The sequence below is a fragment of the Homo sapiens genome, chromosome 3, assembly GCF_000001405.40.
Source record: "Homo sapiens chromosome 3, GRCh38.p14 Primary Assembly".
Lineage (NCBI taxonomy): Eukaryota > Metazoa > Chordata > Mammalia > Primates > Hominidae > Homo > Homo sapiens.
The window spans coordinates 122,505,197-122,522,624 of NC_000003.12; the positions used below are offsets into that span (position 1 = coordinate 122,505,197).

The following is a 17,428-nucleotide window of genomic DNA, read 5'->3' on the forward strand; positions in this document are numbered from 1 at the left end:
GGAGGATGAGGCATAAGTATGGCTTGAACCCGGGAGGCAGAAGTTGCAGTGAGCCAGGATTGTACCACTGCATGCCTCAAAAAAAAAAAAAAAAAAAAATCCAAGCAAATTCTGATATGCATCTGCAGTTGAAAATCACTATAGTAGAGCAAAAGTTTTATTTTAAAACAATGTAAAATACAGTTGAAAATGAAGGCTGAAGTTGGACTGAAGATAGCTTTGATAGGAAAGAAAGGAAATAAATCTCTATGTCTGTAATAAGAGGAATAACAAAGTAATTGTATGAGAAAATTAGTTTATCCTAAGCAAATATTTTTAGGTGTTATCACCTAAGCTACTAATTAAAAATTGTAAGTTACTTTTCAAAGTACCCTCTCAGGAATCAGAAGCCTTCAAAATTAAAGCCATTATACCTAAATTTCCTCTTGTTTTCTAGAGAAATAAAGCCAAAGAAGCAATAAACTTAAAAACAAGATGCAATACTGGTGGTGAAATAGAAACACACTCTTTCAAAGACAGATCCCCTCACTTTCTCCTTCATGTCTAGTTACTCAATTATCAAATTTTGCTTATTCTATCCAAAGTCTTTGATTTTATCTGATCCGATCTATTCCCACTGCCACCAGCCTGGCTCAAGTCTGTGTCAACTGACACCTAGATAACTACAACAGCTCTAAACCAGCATTCTTAACCTCAGACTCTTTGCTCCTCAATTCATCCTACACAGCCCTCAGATTAATCTCAACACCCTTTTCACTGTATCACTTCAATGGATAAGGAACTACAACGTTTTTAACCACTTCTTAGAACAAGTCTAAACTTCTTGGTCCTGCAAGATCCTTTTGTCTGGATTCATTCAATACCATTCTCCACCACTCTAAACCCAAAACAATGAGTGTAGATCTTTTTATATTTTTATTATATTCAAGATGTTATATATTCAGTGCACTGGGTCAGCCCACCTAATCAGTAAATCTCAAACACATTCTAAATGTTCTGAATATTTAAAATCCATAATACTCTTGTGGAACAACTTGAAATCCTAATATACTTAATTCCACCATATAAATCAGGCATAATTTTATTAGAAAGTATATGATATGCATTTACTATTAAAAACCAAAACTACAAGAAAGTATGACTACAAAAAAGTTATGAATTTAAATAAGTGGAGTATAAGTATAAAGTGTTCAGTTCATTTGAAAATATAAATTATTGATGTTAACAGCTTCTAGTCAAACGATAGTAGGTCCGTTTAAAATATTTTAATAGAAATTAGAAAAGAAAATTAAAATTTGAAATATCCTACCCATTCTTTTCCTATACGATAATTAAGGAGTAGCTTTATTTTTATTAAGAGCATTTCAGTGTTCAATGAAAGCAAAGTTTGAAAAACCCTTCAATAAAGCTTTTCCTGTGAGAAGTCAATGTGGCAGACATATGATTCATAGGTGTTCATCTCTGGCCTCATCTTATAGCTCTAACCAATAATCCAATGGCAATACATATTTTCTTTCACAGCCCAGTTTCAAATGTTTTCCTTTGAGAGGTTTATCATAACCTTTGCCCCAAATTCTGACCCCCAACTCCCAGTATCTATAGGTTCCCAAGCTGGGAAGTTCTCCAAAGACATTCTCAATATCAAAACACTTAAAGGAAAATATCTGTCAAGGATCTGGAGAACTCAAACCCTGAATTGAATACTTCCACTTTTAGAATGTACATAAAGGAAACAAAACTAGTAGTATGTGTAAGACTGTTCACTGCAGTGTGATTATTCTAGTGAAAAATTGTAAAAAACCTAAAAGTTCCAATATGAGGGCTTGGTTAAAGGAAATGTTCACAATGTATTGAGAAAACAGAACACTAACATGAAAAATCTGAATGCTGGGAACAAAAACCCAACCTACACTATTCTCTATACTTTCGAAAAATATTTCGTAACTTAAGAAATCAGAATATAGCTGGGCGCAGTAGTTCACACCTGTAATCCCAGCACTTTGGGAGGCCAAGGCGGGCGGATCACCAGAGGTCAGGAGTTCGAGACCAGCCTGGCCAACATGGGGAAACCCCATTTCTATTAAAAATACAAAAATTAGCCGGGCGTGGTGGCGGGCGCTTGCAATCCCAGCTACTCGGGAGGTTGAGGCAGGAGAATCACTTGAACCCAGATGGCAGAGGTTGCAGTGAGCTGAGATTGTGCCATTGCACTCCAGCCTGGGCGACAGAGCAAGACTCCATCTCAAAAAAAAAAAAAAAGAAAAGAGAAGATATCAGCATATAAAATTTGAATATGGAAATATTATTTTATCTTCCAAATTTTCTGTGATAAGCAATATACTGATTATACAAGAAAAAAACTTTCAAAAAGTAGAGCTGAAAGCATATGTTTACTATGATAAAGCTTATCAACCTACCTAAAACACTGAATTTCTATACTTTTCACTACTATTTTTTCAACTGAGTATGCTGTTATTTCTTCAGAAGTTCTGATCTTTATGGTCTTTATGAAGGAGAAAAATTATCTCTTATCTAAAAGTTGAATGATTTTTTGGGGGGTTAAAAAAAAAAAAAGACAAATCTTTCCAGAAGATGACATAAAGGGTTCGTTCCCTCAGTAGTAAAAAAATTTTTAATCGCAAAAACTTGCCTTCATTCAATTCATATCCATTAATGAATTTAATAACCACTGTAATATATCTGTTTTAAGAACACTTATGAGGGTTTTCAAATTTCAAATCAGGAATTAGCACATATAGACTGCACTTTTCTTCCCATATCATATTAACTCAAAGCCAGAAATTCAATTTTAATCTTCAATAGGCACACAGTGGTCATTCAAATGCTGTGAAAAAATGAACAGAGGAGAAAACAAAGAGTTTATGTAAAGAAATAAAATGGTAGACATGGTAGAATACTAAAATTATAAAGAAATTTTTTTTTCAAATAAATGAACCAGAACCACGGCATAAAGAGAATAGGTAAGCAAAAGAATCAGAGATGGTGTCAAAACCTAAAAGAAGCCATAAAATAGACAAATTATATGTCACTAGCAAAGTGGAAAACTCTGAAGCCTAACCTGCAAACGAAGAAGGCAATAAGAAACAAGCTGATTCACACTACCTACCCACAAACAGGATGCTTCAGACAGATCATCCAGGTACTATCCCTCCTTAAGGTAGTGAGGAGTTGGGCTCAAAATCAGAAGGTTTGTTGAAAGTCTACAAAACAGCCATCACATGCCCAGATTTCCTCCTCCACTCTTCACAACCAGACAACCATCCTTCAGTAATCCCTTCAAATGGGTGCTCCAATGCAGGTGAGGGTGGGGGTGAGGTGCCTTATTGATAACAGAATTACATGAGCACAACAGTAAAAACCCAAGCTCCTTTTCTAAAATGAGTTCTCAAAACATGGCAGCCAGACACACATTCTCCTGGCAAGAGACTGGAGACTCTCAGGGAAACTGACTAGCCCAAGAGAAACAAACCTATGAGTATATGCCCTCCACCCACCACAAAAAAAATGGCCACCAGCTACTCTCTTCACCCTTCAACAAGCCACACTTAATAGAGCTTCCAATTCAGTTTTTGGCACTTCATTCTTAAATATGAATGGACAGCCACAAGACTACCAGACATCTGGGGAAAGCCTCAATAAAGAAAAGACAACAATGGTAACAAAATTTTTAAAACTATCATTAATATCCCCAGAAAGAATACAGCATCTATGAAACAACACAAATATACTATAAAATAAGAATGAGAGGCTGGACGCGGTAGCTCACGCCTGTAATCCCAGCACTTTGGGAAGCCGAGGAGGGTGGATCACTTGAGGTCAGGAGTTCAAGACCAGCCTGGCCAACATGGTGAAACCCCGTATCTACTAAAAATACAAAAATTAGCCAGGCGTAGTGGCGGGCCCCTGTAAACCCAGCTACTCGTGAGGCTGAGTCAGAACAATGGCTTAAGCCCAGGAGGCAGAGGTTGCGGTGAGCCAAGATCATGCCACTGCACTCACTTGGGCAACTGAACAAGACTCTCTATCAAACAAAAAAAAAAAAAAGAAAGATAAAACCAAGTAAAGGCAAACATGTGAGCAAAAAAGAACTCTCAAGCACTCAAGTAGGCACATACACTAATTCTCCCACTCTATGCCCAAGGAATCACAATCTTGGGTATATATCCTAGAGAACTTCTATACAGGTCTATAATAATGTACAAGAGTATATATAACACAGGGTATTTGAAATAGCAGAAAGGCAACTCAGGGATCAATTCCTAGGGAATGAAAAGTAAAATGTGGTAGATCTGCATTACAGAATTCTACATTAGACACAACTATACATACTTACAACAAAACAGAAAGATCCCCAAATCAATGTTGAATAAAAAAGAAAAAGACCTTTGCAAGGTCTATAACACAATACCTAAACATACACAGCTCCACTACATATTTTACAATGTTTCATATATAATCAAGGAATGTACCAACCACAATGTTATACAAAGAGGTAACAGAAGTAGGGCTCAGAAATTTAAGATAAAAATTTAAAGGACCTTGTACGATCTGATGTGTGACAAGAACTGAGAAGCATAATTCATTCTAAAATTCTTTTTGCCTAACATCCAAATAATAACAAAAACTTTCGAGAACTAAAGGACATGAACTCCCAGCTTATAAAGGTCCATGGAATGCCCTTAAACAAAAAAATACCCATACCTAGACACATCATCATGGAATTTTGAGGGTTAAAAATATCCTAAAAGCTTCTAGAGATTGGGGTAAAGGAAGATCACATACAAACAAAGAATCAGATTGGCTTTGGATTTCAAGAGTAACCCTGGAAGAAAGAAAACAATAGAACTATGACTTGCAAACTTGAAGTAGAAGTTACTTTCAACTCAGAATTTTATACCCAGACAAATTACTGATCAAATGCGAAGGAAGAATAAAGATTTTTTTCAGTCATGTAAGATGTCAGGAAGTTTTTGTTTTCCATGTATCCTTTCTCAGAAAGCTACTAAAAAATGTACTCCAAGGAAATAAGTAAACCAAGAAAGAAAATACAGGAAACAGTAAACAGGGGAACCAGTACAAAAGAGGGCAAAGAAGTTTAAGGATGATGAAAAGAGAAGTCCCTGGATAACAACTATGAAATAGGCCTAGAAAGTAACCAGTCCTAATTGCATTAAGAGGTTCCAGGTTAGCTGTCTCAGGAAATGAAGCAAACAACAACAAAAAATACTAACTTGTAGAAAAACAAAAATTTATTAAGAGAAGAAATGATATCACAGTACTCTACATGGGTCAGCTGTGAACATTTATAGAGTTACAATATTGTAAACACTAAATATTGGTTTAGTAGACACACCTGTGATAACTATATTTGGAGGATGGTAGAGACAGTGTGTGCATATGGCAGGTGAGGTGAATATATATGTGAAACACTAAGGAACATCTTGCTTAGACGAAAGCCAATAATATCTATAATTGCTATATCATGATATAGCAATAAAAGCAAGTCACTGTATTTATAAATATGAAAGCAAACACAAGAGGAAACAGCTAGAAGAAAGAAAATGGTAGCTTTTCAAGTGCAGAGGCTGGGACAGGGAACAGCTGCTTTTCAGGTATTCTAATTCCAAAATTTTATTTTTTTAATGTTGATAAAACAAGGAACTTGAACAATCTCACGACGGTTATATTAGATCTTCAGTATTATTTCATGGTGTTAAACTACATCTAGTTTGTTCTGCCAAAGAGACTGAACGGCTAAAACCAATCTTTAACGATCAATGTGAACACAGTACAAACAGCCCTATTTGAATCCCAACTCCACTACTTTGTGAAGTAAGGCGAGTTACCCAATCACCTTGCACACGTAATCACCTCCTCAAAATGGTTTTGCAAGAACAAGTAAGTGAAAGCACCTGATGCAGAACCTGACCCATCAATAGATGTCAGAGTACTTTCAGCGGGTCTTTCTGTTCCCTAGCTGACCCCAAGCTGCCTATTCTGACCCCAAGCTGCCTATTCTGACCCCAACCTGCCTTGTTGCTCACAGAGTATATAGGCACTCATGGACTCAGCACATATCCCTCCTCACGCTGGAAAAACAATCATGATGAGTAAGCAGACTTATCTTTGTATATGAAGGGCAGCATTATTCTTGTTAATATGAAGGAGATTATCTCCATTATCCACATTCTGGATTACTGCCTGCTTTCAAGAACTGTCCCAATTAGTCTACAACACTTGGACAGAACCATTTTTTCATGTTGTTTTGTAGGTTTGTAACATCTTTAAAAAAAAGAAAGAAAGAAACATACATTCCCACAGTCTTCATCCCTACTCTTCCAATGTACAACCTCAAAATTTTCTAATGCAGGCCCTATCTGGCCCTCAGTTGGCCTCAGGCCATCTCCTGCTTACTGCAGCAAAAGACAGAAATCAGCCCAAATCAGCTAATTTAACTGTTTACCATTTCCAGTGTTTTCTTCCCTATTATGGCTAAATTCATAACACCATGCAAAGTACAAAGATACCTTAAAACAAAACAAGGAGTTATCTTTATCACTAGGTCAGTCATCTTTACTTGCAAGACCAATCAAAGGTCTTAACTGATTTTATACACAGTACTCATACATCTAAAAACAATCTGGTAGACTTAAAAGCACAGACATCATAAATCATTAAAACTCTATTTTATCATTAATTCAACAAACACTGTGCTAAAACACTGAAGATGCAAAGAATAAGATATAATCCTATTCTCAAATGTAAAGGGAAAAGGGAAAAGGTAAAAGGACCATTGAGAGCAACAGAGAATAAAGAAAATAATGCAAGAAACAACTGACAGCAATTCCAGGTTACGTATAAAATAATTCTTAACATAGTTGAGACTAAAGAAAATTATAAAAATTGAACACAGCTCTGAGACTCCTGACAGTCAAAGTATAGAGAAACAGGATGGCTTACAAAACAAAAATAATCTAATAAAACCAATCATTAGTTTAAAAAAAAAAAGCTTAATACTGGGGTCTTAGGAAGAATTTGTCTCTAAGGTCTGTATTTTATAGGAACCAATACATAAATTAGAAATTTCTTCATTAGATATTAATGAAGAAAAGATGTTTTTAATGGCCCCTTTGGTAAGTATCAGCTCTAGATAAGATGTATATTAAATCATAGTTCTGTGAAGAAACTTCTACGAGAACCACTTTATAAAGTAACATAATGCGGCTGGGCGCGGTGGCTCATGCCTGTAATCCTAGAACTTCGGGAGGCCGAGGAGGGCGGATTGCGTGAGCTCAGGAGTTCGAGACCAGCCTGGGCAAGACGGTGAAACCACCCGTCTCTACTAAAATACAAAAAATTAGCCGAGTGTGGCCTCATGCCCCTGTAGTCCCAGCTACTCAGGCAGTCTCAGGCAGGAGAACTGCTTGAACCAGGGAGGCAGAGGCTGCAGTAAGCCGAGATCGCGTCACTGCCCAGCCTGGGCAACAGAGCAAGCATCCAAAAAAATAAATAAATAAAATAAAAAATACCATAATGCAAGTATAGTGATTTCAGGTGATACCTTTCTAATTTAGTTTATTCTAGGTTTTCATAAATGTATGTTTTGTTGCCCTACAGGACTGTAAACTCCTCAAGGCTTATGTTGTCTGCTTCCATTTGAACTGCCTTTACTATTTAGTAGAGTGCTTTACAGTTGCTACTCAACTATAATAACTGACAAAATGTTATGCAGTCAATATTTGTAATATTAGCTTTCCCTGCTACACTATAAATTCCATGAGAACAGGGACAGTGAGTTTTGATCGCGACTATATCCCCCCAAGTCTAGAAGATCACTCTGTAAGTATTCGCTGATTGAACGGATTAAATAAAGAAAACAACGAAAAAGTATGAAAGGAGAGAAATAATTTAAATGGCAGTAACTTTGGGTTCTAAGGTTGTTCTCAACAAGAACTGGAAGACCTTAGGTAAGTTACTTAACATTTGATTGTCAATGCTTTCATCTGTAAAATAGAAAAATTAACAGATACTTCAGATTCAAATGTTTTTAATATATGTAAAGCATTTAACACAATACCTGAAAAAAGAACTCAATAAATGTTAATTCCTTTACTTTCTCTTACGTCTCATCTATCCATAAAACAGTGTCTTCCAAGAATATTTCAGTAAAAATACAACAGAACTCATTCTTACTTTCCTTTGAAAAATTAAATTTTCATCTCTTTGATCTTTAAAAAGGAGGGAAAAATAACTTGTGTACTGCTTTCAAAATATTACAAATGCAAAAGCTAGTTAAGACAAAAACAATGTCGAGAATGAGCCTTGCTGGTGGCATCCGCCTGTAGTTCCAGCTAGTAGGGAGGATGCCTTGAGGCCAGGAGTTCCAGATCAGCCCGGGAAACAAAGCAAGACTCCATCTCTTAAGAAAAAAAAAAACAAAACAGGAGGGGGGAAATCACTTCATCTACTAATAGAGATTTTTAAGCAACCGTTTATTTAAGAAAAAAGGGTGAAATTCAAGTTAATATTACTTGACAGTACGTTTCAGAAAAAAAAATACTCTGCAGAGCTGGGTGTGGTTGCCCAAGACTAGTCCCAGCTACTTGGGAAGCTGAGGCAAGAGGACAGTTTGAGCTCAGGAGTTGGAGTACAGCCTGGGCAATATAGCGAGACCCCATCTCTTTAAAATACAAACAAAAACTCGGCAATCGTTTGTTCTGAGTTGAAACCTTAAAAATCAAATATTTTGAACGCTTTCATTTAAAAGTGGAACACGACCCAATCCTAAAACATTACTTCATGACGACTTCCTTGACTCCAGTCATCCTTGTTTCCTCCTCCCGTTTTGAGCTTAATCCGATACCTCGCTGCTTCCCTCGCATCGCACACGCGGCGTGCAGACCAAGTTCTGTCATTGCTATAATTACCACACCCCCGATCAGCCGCTCCAGGCCCATGTTGTTATGACATCGGTAAACTGCAGCCGGCCGTCTCCACCCCCCGCTTCCCCCACCTCCCTCCGGGCCGCCGGCTCCGACCCGGTCTGTAACTTGTGAATTCCCAAGACGGTCCCTTTTTGCCAGGGTTAGAATTTTTACACGCCACCCCTGCTCCTTCCTGCCTCTGTCACAGCGCTCTGCGCGGCCCACCCCCGCCTCCCGCCCGCCGCCCGGCCGCGGCGCAGGCTCCGCGCTCGCCTCCTCTCCGCCCGCTGCCTCGGCGCCCCGCAGTCCCCGGCGCCGCTTACAGCCCCGCCGCCGCGCCACGCCGCCCCGCCCCGCCTAGCCTCGACCGGCGTTCCCGATGGCGATCACACCAGGGCTCCCCACCCCCACCCTCTCCTCCGCCGGCCTTGTGGCCGTTAGGACAGCCGGGCCCGTGACGCACGGACGCGGCGCGAGCGTCCGGCCCAGGAACCCCGGCTCTAGGCCCTGCCGGCACCCGCCCTCGCCCCAGGGCCTCTCCTGAGTCCCTCCGGGACTGCCCGGATCTGCCGGCGGGAGGGGGAGGGGCCGGGGCCGCAAGGCCCCAGCACTCACCAGGCTCAAGGCAACCGATCCCGGTGCCACCGCTGAAGTTAGCCCCTCGCTCGCCCGCCCGCCGTGCCACTCCCGCGCACAACCTCGAAGAGCTGGCCCGCGCCTCGGCGGTGCTCACCAGGCCTCGCTCTCCGCCGCCTCGCACCGAGCAGCGAGACTCAGCTCAGCCGGCGTTCGCAGTGCGCCTGCGTGCGGGGGCCGGCCCGAGCGCCTACGCGCGCCCCTCCGGCGCTTGTCGCAGAGGCTGCCGGGAGACGTAGTCTTGTAACGCTCTCTCGCCGGACATTCCTAATGGTTAGCGCCCAGCCTGTGAAGAGTCGGGGGTCGGGGAGGGGGTCTCGCTAAGAAGGAGGTTTGCAGACCATGGCAAAGGTTGGAGAAAGTTATATGTACAAACCTGTCTTTGCTAAGCTCTTCCAGGGCGGATCGATGCTCACCTCTGTATAGCTTCTAAGTACCTAATACGCGTTGATGGAATGAATGATGGAATGATTGAAGGCTGAGGGAGTATTACAAAATTAGTAGGTCAGCGCCTCGTGTCTAAAGGGCTCACATGCAGCATGAATGCAGGAAGCTTCTGGACATTCCTTTTTTAGTTATCTCCCATCCCCTTTGCTTGATAACGTATGCGTAGTATCAAAAATAATTAAGGGCCGGGCGCGGTGGCTCACACCTGTAATCCCAGCACCTTGGGAGGCCGAGGTGGGTGGATCACTTGAGGCTAGGAGTTTTGAGACTAGCCTGGGCAACATGGCGAAACCCCGTCTCTACTAAAAACACAAAAATTAGCAGGGGGTGGTGACGGGCGCCTGAAGTCCCAGCTACTCGGGAGGCTGAGGTGGGAGAATCACCTGAGCCCGGGGTTGACGGTGAGACTGCAGTGAGCCGAGATCGCGCCACTACACTCCAGCCTGGGCAACCGGAGTGAGACCCTGCCTCAAAAATAATAATAACAATAATAATAATAATAATAATGAAACTACATGAAACACATACTCGTTTTACTCTCAACTGCTCTCAAACGAAAACTTGGAGCAAATGATTGCTAATGTTAAATTTCATGGAATTCTTTGGGGGAGCAAATGGAGTAGTGGCTTCAAAAGAAGAAAAACTGAAGCCAGCCTAGCAGGGATCACGGAATAGTAGACAGATTTAAAACACATGCCAAGAAGCAAGGTGAAAGAGATGAGGTAGATTAATACATTTATAAATGTCCCAGGGAAGAGGAGAGGAGAGAGGACCACTCTACCTGAATCCTAGGTTATGCAATGTTCATTTGTCCTGGACTTCTCTCTGCTGCATCAGCATTCTCCCGCTGATGTTGTGTTTACTAAGATCAGAGTTGAGTTTGAGCAAGGGGGCTGGGGAAAGGGAAGGTGTGTTCAACAGGAGAGACTTAAGGGCAAGTTTGCCTGACCACAGCTAGACTGAAGACAGATCACCTTATTCCAATAAGGAACTAAGACTGATTATTCAGAGCCGGTCTTCAGTCTTTGGGAAAGCTAATTTATTTCCGGTTCACCCTTATTCCTAGCTAGTCCTTGATGGTCCCATCCAAAAGTCTGGGGTATTTACTAGGGCCTCTTCTCTTTGGTGGGCCTTCTAAGCCCCATGAGACAGCCATAAGCTCTTCTCCCTGTTTCAGCCACTGCTTTCAGAGTCAGCAATCACCTTAGCTTTGGAAAAATGATGGCAAATATCAGGCTAACCTCTGGTGGCTTCCTTTTTCTTCCAGACCTTGCACTCACAAATTCTCACTTCCTTGGTAGCTCTTCAGTACATTAACGTTTTTATATTTTGTTCAGTTGTTCTCTGTAGTGGAAAGGTTGATTGAAAACAACAGTAGGCCATTGCTGGAAGTTGAATTCCTATGTATGTTACTTTTACAAAAATGTTATCATACCATACATGGTGTTTTATAAGCTACTGTCTCTCTGACAATATCATTTTATAGTTTGAGAAATTTGAAAGTATAGAACAGTATTTTTTACTGTCACAAACAATGCTGCTGTGAACATTCTTGTACATCTCTACTGTGTATAGGGAAACTGCTAGATCCTAGGACATTGCATCTTTAACCTTACTATATGTATCAGGCAGAAATCTAAGATGGCCCCCATAATCTCTGGTCCCTGGTGTTGCCTATATAATCTCCACCCCTTGAGTGTAGGTGGGACCTTTGACTTACTTCTAGCCAACAGAATATGGCAAAGGTGATAGAATGTCACTCCCATGATTCCGTTTCATTATATAAGACTGTCTTTCCAGACTGGAGCTAGAGATTCGCTGGCCTTGAAGAAGCAAGCTGTCATGTTGCGAACTGCCTATGGAGAAAACTAAATGGCAGGGAACTGCAGACGGCTTCTAGAACTTGAGCGCAGCCTGCAGCTGACAACCAGTAAGAAGCCAGGGCCCTCAGTCACACAACCACAAGGAAATGAATTCTGCCAACAACCTGAGAGGTGGCCTCCAGATGAGAAGACAGCCTGACTTAAACCTTGATAGCAGTTTTGTGAGACCCTGAGCAAAGAAAACAGATAAACTGTGCGTAGACTCCTGGTCTACAGAAACTGTGAGATAATAAATGTGTCTTAAGATACTATGTTTATGGTAATTTATTATACAATAGAAAACTAATACACTAGACATTGCTGGATTATTTCATAAAGTGATTGTACCAATTTGTACTCTAGAAACGGTATATAAGATACTCTTCACTTGCTAACAGTTAGAAATGTCTGGCTTTTTAAATTTTTGCCAATCTAACATATAAATTACTTGAACATAAAAACATGAAAAATAGATATTTACTTAGAATTATGCATTCTGTTGTATTTCTTTTCTGTTGCATAAATGCAATTAAATAAAATAGCAGGCTGGGAACAGTGGCTCATGCCTGTAATCCCAGCACTTTGGGAGGCTGAGGCAGGAGGATCACTTGAACCCAGGAGTTCCAGACCAGCCTGGGCAACATAGCAAGACCCCCATCTCAACACACAAAAAAATTAGTCGGGCATGGTGAGTCGCACCTGTAATCCCAGCTATTCAGGAGACTGAGGTGGGAGGATCACTTGAGACCAGGAGTCTGAGCACACCACTGCACTTCAGCGTGGGTGGCAGAGCAAGATATTGTCTCAAAAAAAAAAAAAAAAAAGCAACTAGTAGTAATAAATAGAGAGACTAATTAAGCAAATAATATGTATGAGAAAAATGCAACAATTTCATAAGGTTTCTTTCTTTCCTCTGGTATAGCAATTTAGCTCTATTGCATATTTGAATTTTGTAGGCTATATCATCCTATATTCTTGAGATAAATAAGTGTAAGAATTTTTTAAAGAATGTATACAATAGAACTAATGAGATAGATATTACCTATATTAAATAAAAAATAATGACATATTTCTTTCTGTCCCATGATAGCTTGAGATATTTTTATTCTTTCTGTTTCCTTTTCCATTAGTACTTTTCTGAACTACTTGGGATCTTTAGGACGTTTTTCTTTTCTTTTGTGTGATAGTAAAACTGAATACAGTCAAACATAAAACTAATTTTGACTTGCAGCTTTGCTCCTCTGCCTACATTACACTGCTTCTGTTGTCAAAGTAAAAACATAAAGCTAAATATTCTATAAACAAAATTGTTGGAGCACAAAATACTTAGGATTTTATTTACTAGCACAGCACATTTTTAAACTTGTAGGAATTCGTTTCCAGCTCTCCGAAAGGTCCATCCACTTTGTATATTCAGGTAAACCTGCTGTTTGTCTATCAGTCATGTCCTGTGCATCTATAAATTAACCATGTAGGCTTTCCATATGTGAAATGACTATCATTTTTAAACACTCTGAAGCACATTGGATGTCATCCTCAGTTAAACCTCATTTCCCCAGAGAAAATGGTTTATGCACTTCTAACTCTTCAGCAAAACAACAACAAAAAAATTGAGCTTATAAAATTGAAGTTAGATTTCAAGTAAGTTTACAGCTGTAGTAAAGAAATCCAGAAAGTTCTGTTTAATTTGCCTTTTTCTGGATACTTTTTTTAAAAGTTCTGAAACAATCTTATTTCCAGAAAGTTGACCTATTTTTCTTGGTTGGAGTTTTTATTGCAACCTACACATAACATTGAACAACTCAAGTCAGTGAGTTTATCCTTGTAGTCTCCTTATGGCCTCTTAGAGGATTATCAGACAGTTTCAGAGAACCAGCAGGTTTATTTCTGTTTTATTATAAACCTTCTCTCCATTCTCATCTTCGGTGTATTTACAAATTGAAGCAGACCATGCTGTTTTGTTCCACACTCAGATATTTTATGGCAAGCCAACATTTTAACATCTTTTCTGTGGCCAGCTTCAGTGATAGCCACCTTATAGACACATGTTTAAGGAAGCTATCTCCTTCCATTTCTATAAAGTCAAAAATTTCATTAAGTGCTTCTGTACATTTCAAGGAAATTGAAATGACCAAAAACTTTCATTATCAAAGCCTCCATATCTCAGGTAAGCAAATCACAGCTCTCTTTTAGCATTGTTTAGCAGATGAGATCCTTTCATTTTATTTGGTGAGAAGTTAAGAGACTGAATAGAATTCGTCAAAATTATCATTTACATCAAAAGCAGATAAATGAGCCAAGCCTAGTTTGTATTTGGCCAAGACATGATACCCTTTGTTTTGTGTTTCTGTGATTTTGTGAAAATCTTAATAGACATCAAGATGACAATTTGAAACTTCAGTTTTCAAGTCAAATTACCTAAGAGCTAGAGGGAACACTTTTTTTTTTTTTTTGATATGGAGTCTTGCTCTGTCACCCAGGCTGGAGTGCAGTGGCATGATCTCAGCTTACTGCAGCCTTCACCTCCCAGATTCAAGTGATTCTCCTGACTCAGCCGCCCGAGTAGCTGGAACTACAGGTGTGCACCACCACACCTGGCTAATTTTTTTGTATTTTTAGTAGGGATGGGGTTTTGCTATGTTGGCCAGGCTGGTCTCAAACTCCTGGCCTCAAGTGATCCACTTGTTTGCCTTGGACTCCCAAAGTCCTGGGATTACAGGCATTAGCCACCACACCCAGCAAAGGGAACACTTTCTGAATCAGGAAATGTAACTTTACATAGTTTCATAGAGTGATGCAACAATGGATTATAATTACTGTGAACTGTACATCATGGTTGCCAACATCAGTGGGCAGGAAAATAATAACAGTGACTACATAAGGTGAATAATCTATGCTATATCCATTAAACACTAAAAGCAGTATTGTTTTCAGCCCCTATTTTTTTGGCTGTCATAGGAGTTTTGCACTTTTCATCCCAACCTCCATACCCATCACAGAAAAACAGGATTTTTTGTGTCCTGGGAGGGTTTCCCACGACATGGGAATTTTAGTGCTAAAATCTGGGAAGTCAAACAAATGGGGACAGCTGGTAATTCTTCCTCACATCTCCTTCATCAGACTAGTGACCCATTCCCCTACCTACTGTGAGTGGGGCTTGTAACTCTACTGCCCCACTTCTCTGAATTGCCCTAGGTCTAACAGGAGCCACCTTGCTAGAAGGGTTCCACTCCCCAGAGAGGGCAGACCTAGGCCAAAAACTGTAGCAGGGTTCAAAAGGCCAGCCCCTGCTGCAGAGGGCTACTTCTAATTATATAATTTGTAGGCCCACCATGCGAGGTGGCTCACGCCAGCACTTTGGGAGGCCGAGGCGGGCAGATCATTGAGGTCAGGAGTTCGAGACCAGCCTGGCTAACATGGTAAAACCCTGTCTCTACTAAAAATACAAAAATTAGCCAGGCGTGGTGGAGCACACCTGTAGTCCTATCTACTCAGGAGGCTGAGGCAGGAGAATCACTTGAACCCAGGAGGCAGAGGTTGCAGTGAGCTGAAATCGTGGCACTGCACTCCAGCCTGGGCAACAGAGTGAGACTCCATCTCAAAAAAAAAAAAAAAAAAAAAAGAGAATTTGTGCTCTAGAATTTCCCCTTAGAATTAGACTAAAGCTAGTCTTCAGCTGAGACTATTAATATCTTCTTGCTAACTTTTTCCCCTGCTCTGTGCTGTCTCCATTATTCCCATATTCCTGAGAGTACTCCCCCTAAAAATAATTAAACATGAATTCCCATCTCAGGTTCTGCTTCTAGGGAAACATCACCTAGGACAAGATCCAAACCTATTCTCTTCCATTTCCTTAACCAGTTGTCCAAGACCATTTATTGAGATTCGTGCACTGAATTCCAAGTGATCTGCAATTTTACCTCAGTCATTCATACACACACACACACACACACACAGCTCCATGTTGAGAAATGTATGCATAGAGTCATATGATACTCAGAAAATAAACAGAACCAGTGAGCAAACCGGGCACGGTGGCTCACGTCTGTAATCCAGCACTTTGGGAGGCCAAGGCAGATGGATCTCTTGAGGCCAGGAGTTTGAGACCAGCCTGGCCAGCATGGTGAAACCCCATCTCTACTAAAAATTAAAAATTTAGCTGGGCATGGTAGTGGGTGCCTGTAATCCCAGCTACTCAGGAAGCTGAGGCATGAGAATCCCTTGAACCTGGGAGGCGGAGGTTGCAGTGAGCCGAGATCATGCCACTACACTCCAGCCTGGGCAACAGAGCAAGACTCCATCTCAAAAAAAAAAAAAAAAAAACCAGTAAGCAAAAACACAAGTACCAGGCCAGGCTTGGTGACTCACACCTGTAATCCCAGCACTATGGGAGGCTGAGGCAGGAGAATCACTTGAGGCCAGGAGTTCAAGATCAGCCTGGGCAACAACATGGTGAGACCCCATCTTCTACAAAAATAAAAAAATAAAAAACAACAAAAAACAACTTTTTAAATACAAACACCAAATAGCAGTTTCAACTTTAGTATGAAAAAGTGGGCCGGGCTTGGTGGCTCAAGTCTGTAATCCCAGCACTTTGGAAGGCCGAGGTGAGCGGATCACAAGGTCAAGAGATCAAGACCATCTTGGCCAACATGGTGAAACCTTGTCTCTACTACAAATACAGAAATTAGCTGGGTGTGGTAGCGCATGGCTGTAGTCCCAGCTACTCAGGAGGCTGAGGCAGGAGAATTGCTTGAACCCACGAGTCAGAGGTTGCAGTGAGCTGAGATCGTACCACTGCACTCCAGCCTGGTGACAGAGCGAGACTCCGTCTCAAAAAAAAAAAAAAAAAAGACAAAGAAAAAGTGAATAAGGATTCAGTTGTATTCTTTGTCATATAAATTCTAACTTTTAAGTGGTACTTAGCTTCTAATTGCAAATATTTGCTGGAAATTTTTTAATGTACCCTAAAAATATTGATACCATGCAACCTGCAGTGTGAAAAGGTATTTAAAAAATATTGCAGAATATTTATACATATTTATATAATTGATACATTATATGTAAACTTGAGCAACACATGTATCTTGAATATATACATAAATATAGATATATACATCATATATGTGTGTATATATACACATCTATATGATATATATACACATGATATATAGTATCTATATATGAGATATGTATATGTGATATATATGATATATATAATATATATACACATATGTATGTTCTTATATATACACAAATTTAACAGAGTTTGCTTGACCAAAGAATGATTCATGAATCAGGCAGCACTCAGAACCAGGAGAGGTTCCAAGAGCTCTACCCAGCAATGTGGGCAGGCAGTATTTATAGAAAGAAAAAGAGTGACATACAGAAACAACCTGATTGGTTATAGCTCAGCATTTACCTTTTCTGGGCATGATATGATGGGGCATTTGCCTTACATGAATGTTCTAATGAGTTGGCAGCCTGTGATTGTCTGAGACTCAGCTACTTGTTAAAAGAATAGATGCTTAGCCAGGT

At 40.2% G+C, this 17,428-nt stretch overlaps 1 protein-coding gene and 1 long non-coding RNA gene across 5 annotated transcripts in view, besides 3 other annotated features; one reads left to right on the plus strand and one right to left on the minus strand.

Annotated features, from left to right (window-relative positions):
• Nucleotides 1-9,743, minus strand: part of KPNA1 (karyopherin subunit alpha 1) — a 93,038-nt gene extending 83,295 nt beyond the window's left edge. For 2 of the 4 annotated variants that reach the window (NR_026698.2, NM_002264.4), the window contains exon 1: nucleotides 9,561-9,743. The gene's annotated coding sequence lies outside the window, so the exon portion shown is untranslated. The remainder of the gene's footprint in view (nucleotides 1-9,560) is intronic. The other 2 variants (XM_005247437.5, XM_024453514.2) reach the window with 2 other exon arrangements.
• Nucleotides 3,333-3,382: an enhancer, noted in NCBI's record as "active region_20375". NCBI's record gives its function as "activates an Ori minimal core promoter by ATAC-STARR-seq in GM12878 lymphoblastoid cells {active_cell/tissue: GM12878}" and the evidence as "EXISTENCE:reporter gene assay evidence [ECO:0000049][PMID:35858748]".
• Nucleotides 3,543-3,592: an enhancer, noted in NCBI's record as "active region_20376". NCBI's record gives its function as "activates an Ori minimal core promoter by ATAC-STARR-seq in GM12878 lymphoblastoid cells {active_cell/tissue: GM12878}" and the evidence as "EXISTENCE:reporter gene assay evidence [ECO:0000049][PMID:35858748]".
• Nucleotides 9,021-9,710: a silencer, noted in NCBI's record as "silent region_14641". NCBI's record gives its function as "represses an Ori minimal core promoter by ATAC-STARR-seq in GM12878 lymphoblastoid cells {active_cell/tissue: GM12878}" and the evidence as "EXISTENCE:reporter gene assay evidence [ECO:0000049][PMID:35858748]".
• Nucleotides 9,833-12,162, plus strand: LOC107984000 (uncharacterized). The gene is made up of 2 exons (XR_924403.3): nucleotides 9,833-9,932; nucleotides 11,829-12,162. It is a non-coding gene; the product is annotated as an uncharacterized LOC107984000 (long non-coding RNA).
• The last annotated feature ends 5,266 nt before the right edge of the window (nucleotides 12,163-17,428 follow it).